The 3,976-nt window shown below is 37.7% G+C and overlaps 1 pseudogene; it reads left to right on the top strand.

Moving 5' to 3' along the window:
• Positions 1–2,972: 2,972 nt before the first annotated feature.
• LOC124900307 (uncharacterized) lies at positions 2,973–3,043 on the top strand (annotated as a pseudogene).
• Positions 3,044–3,976: the final 933 nt, after the last annotated feature.

The following is a 3,976-nucleotide window of genomic DNA, read 5'->3' as shown; positions in this document are numbered from 1 at the left end:
GTCAGCTCTTATAATCGTCTAACAACTCTCCTGAAAGCTCTGGAATCCATAGATTGATTCACTCTTTAGTCTCACTCTTCCTGAGAGCCTGCCATGTTTCAGGTACCATGACAGGTGCTGAGCAGACAGAGATGAAGGACCATCTCTGATTTCAATGATATCTCAATCTGCAAGCAGGGGATATGAGGCTCTCATAGAAATTAGCCAATGATCTTAACCCAATGTGCTAACAGCTTCAAAAATAATAGTATACATCTACTGAGTTCCTATTATGTCCAAACTGTATTAGGTTTTCTGTGTATACCATTAGCATCTAATAGAATCTTCACCCAATCTTTTGAGGAAATTACTAACCTGTCTTATAGACGAGGACACTGAGACATGATGACATTAAAGAATTTGTCCAGAGTCACACAGCTTGCCACTAGTGGATCTTAGATTTGAGCCCAAGTAGTGTGGTTCTACAGCCTGAGTTTCATGCCAGTTAGCTACATCATGGTAGAACAAGTGACAGCTGAAAAGGATAAATAGAGTTGCACAAGCTTATCCAGATTAGAAAGTCAAGGAAGCCCTTCTAGAGAAGTTGTGAAGGATAAGAAAAAATTGGCCAGACAGGAGGAGAGAGAGAAGCATGGCCAAAGACCCAGAGGTATGAACCGACAGAGCTTTCCAAAACTTATTGTCTGCACAATATTGTCTGATTTTAAAGTGTTTTCAAATTTAAGTGTGTCTACTCACAAAAACATTCTCTTGTCCCTGGAAAGTAAGCGGATAGAAACAAACACAAAAATTAGGCTCAAGTAACTGAAAATTTTTTTATACTTTTGGTCAAGAGGCAGAATCAAAGTAAGAGATTTTATCAAGAGAGATTTCAGAAACAAACCTAAGAAGTATCTTTGTATGTGTAATACTGGAATTACTACTCGGTATAAATTTATTTCTTCATTAAAAATAGTATCCATAGGTCAACTTCACTTCAAAGAGCATCATCCTTCAAAACAAAGCAAATATTTATAATTACTTAATAGACACATAAGTGTGTAAATATAAAATGTGAACACTGGGCAGAAAGTTTAAAACCCTAAAATAAGCCAGAATCATTGTATTCCAAGTGCCACAGACCTAAGTCAAGAACAGACTGCCTGAAACCCCACGGCTGAGCAAAAGCAAAGCACAGATAAAATGCCATGAAAGGACAGGCTCAGCCTATAACTGAGAAAGTTCCTTGACTGCCTTCCTATTAATATTCACTTGAAACCATGTCTAACTGGGCTCATTTTCATTCTAATTCCTTTTATGAGTTACACTTGGCAAATATATTTTATGTAGTACAAAAATGACCTCAATCGTATTATCCAGAAGTATGTAACCCAGTGTGGCCTAAGGGTCAAAAACATGAAAGGAAATTTTAAGGTCCCCAAACATTTTGCTAAAAAAAACACTAAAGAGTGAATTGACAATCAGATACAGCTCTTCAGACTGTCCCAAGGTGGTCACTTGTGCTTTTAAACAATAGTATTTGTAGAAAATATTTGTAGAGCTCTCTATTCAGTAAAAGGGTTTTTAAAAAGTGGATACTTTCTGTTTTGGCAATACAGAAGAGAATTTAAAAATAAAATTTCCTGCTACAAAACAACAAAAATGTTAGTTAAAACATTAAAAGCACATTTTAAATGCATTTTGTTCTAGTAATACCAAGTTAAGTTACGGATATTAACACTTCTACTGAAAACAATGCTTATATATATTATTTACGTATATACGTCATCTTAAAAGTGTTGAATTGGTGGCAACCACTAGATAGTGTAATAAGAGGCTCAAGTTCTCAGCTCCCTACAAAAACACCATTTTAACAACCATCCATTAAAAAAAATACCTTTACACAAGATCCATAATCTAAGAAAGAGGTTATAGCACTCATGTAGAGCATGTAAATGAGAAAAGACATATTAAAGGGGATAAAAAAAATGTTTCACTTTACCCATGTCACTCCTCCCTTAAGAATGTACAGTGCAGTGCTGATAGTAATCAGTATTAGCCTGTGAGTTCTCTCATGAGGAAAAGGAAGAAAGAAGTGAGTTTCTGATGCCTCCGTGGAACCTGGCATTAGGTTCTTCATTACAGACACTGGCAACAAGCCTAACCCACAGGCCTCTGGCATCAGGCATGCCTCTGCCAACTCAAGTACCAGGTCTACCTCTATGGACCCTGGCACCAAGCCAATCCACCTAGGTACCCTGACAATGGTCCACCCACCTACAGACTCTAGCAGAAATGCCTACTCAGAGACCATTACAGCCAGTCCACTCAGAAATGCTGGCTGGACTGACCAACAAAGTGCTTTGCTTGATGAAGCCAGTGTGTAAAACTAAAAGAAGTGACTACTTCTTCAAATGCACAGATACCAAAGCAAGGCTACAAGATTTACAAAGAATCAGGGAAATAAGATACTACCAAAGGATCAAAATGAAGCTCCAGTTACCAACTTTAAACAAATAGAGATCAAAATGAAGCTCCAGTTACCAACTTTAAACAAATAGAGATCCATGAATTGCCTGACAAATTATTCAAAGTAATTATCTCAAGAGCGCACCATGAGCTAAAAGAGAACAATTATAAACAACTAAACAAACACAGGTAACAATACATTGGGGAAAAAAGAGATGCTCAGCAGAGACACAAGCCATAAAAAAAAAAACCCAACAGAAATTCTAGAGCTGAAGAACACAATGGCTCAGCTGAAAAACTTAATAGAGAGCTTCTACATTAGACACGATCAGCCGAAGAAGGAGTCAGCTAGCTCAAAGACAAGTAATTACCCATTTCAAGGAACCAAAAAAATTCTTTTTAAGAATAAAGAAAACCTTATAGTACTTATTAGCCACCACTTAGCAAAATAATATATGCATTAAGGGAAGCTCTGGGAAGAGAAGGGAGAGAAAGGGGTAGAAAGCTTATTTAAAGAAATAATGCATGTATAATGATATATTGGTAACACTGCAGACTTGGGGAAGCCAGCCAACCTTGGAGATCTGAGTGTGAGAGAAAAGAATATGAATAAGAATAAGAAGAGAAAGAGTAAGGAGAAGAGGAGAAGGAGTAAGAGGAGGAGGAGGAGGACAAAGAGATAGAATAAAGAAGGAATGGGTAAAACTTCCAAAATCTCAGGAGGGAACTGGATATCTAAATTCATGGAACCAAAAGGATCTCAAATAAGTGACACCTAAAGAGGGCTGCACTGAGAAATGTTAAAATTAAATTTTCAAAAGGCAAAGGCAAAGACACAATTTTGAAAGCAGCAAGAGAAAAGCTGATCACATGCAAGAAAATCTCCGTAAGTCTATCAGCAGATTTCTTAGCAGAAATCTTGCAGGCCTGCAAGATTCAAAGTACAGAAAGGAAAGAAGAAAAAAACAAAAAACCTGCCAACCGAGAATACTATACCTGACAAAACAGTCCTTTTAAAATGAAGGAAAGATAAAGACTTTCCTAGATAAACAAAACTGACAGTTTGTCACCACTAGACCATCCTGACAAGAAATTCCAAAGGGAGTAAATAGAGTTCAAAAACAAAAGAATGCTAAAAGGTAACATGAACAAATATAACAGTATAAATCTCACTGATAAAGGCAAATATATAAGCAAATACTGTAATACTGTAATGATGATGAATAAGTCACTTTTACCCCAGTATAAAAGTTAAAAGACAATGGTGGCTGAGTGCAGTGGCTCATGCCTGTAATCCCAGTACTTTGGGAGGCTGAGGAAGCTGGATCACTGGTGTCAGGAGTTCGAGACAAGCCTGATCAATATGGTGAAACCTTGTCTCTACTGAAAATACAAAAATTAGCCATGCGTGCTGGCACGCATCTGTACTCCCAAGTACTTGGGAGGCTGTGACAGGAGAACTGCTTGAACCCTGGAAGCAGTGGTTGCAGTGAGCCAAGATCACGCCACTGCATTCCAGCCTGGGTGA

The sequence above is a fragment of the Homo sapiens genome, chromosome 11, assembly GCF_000001405.40.
Source record: "Homo sapiens chromosome 11, GRCh38.p14 Primary Assembly".
Classification (NCBI taxonomy): domain Eukaryota; kingdom Metazoa; phylum Chordata; class Mammalia; order Primates; family Hominidae; genus Homo; species Homo sapiens.
The sequence above is the reverse complement of the archived record's forward strand: the minus strand, read 5'-3'. Positions and strand labels throughout refer to the sequence as shown.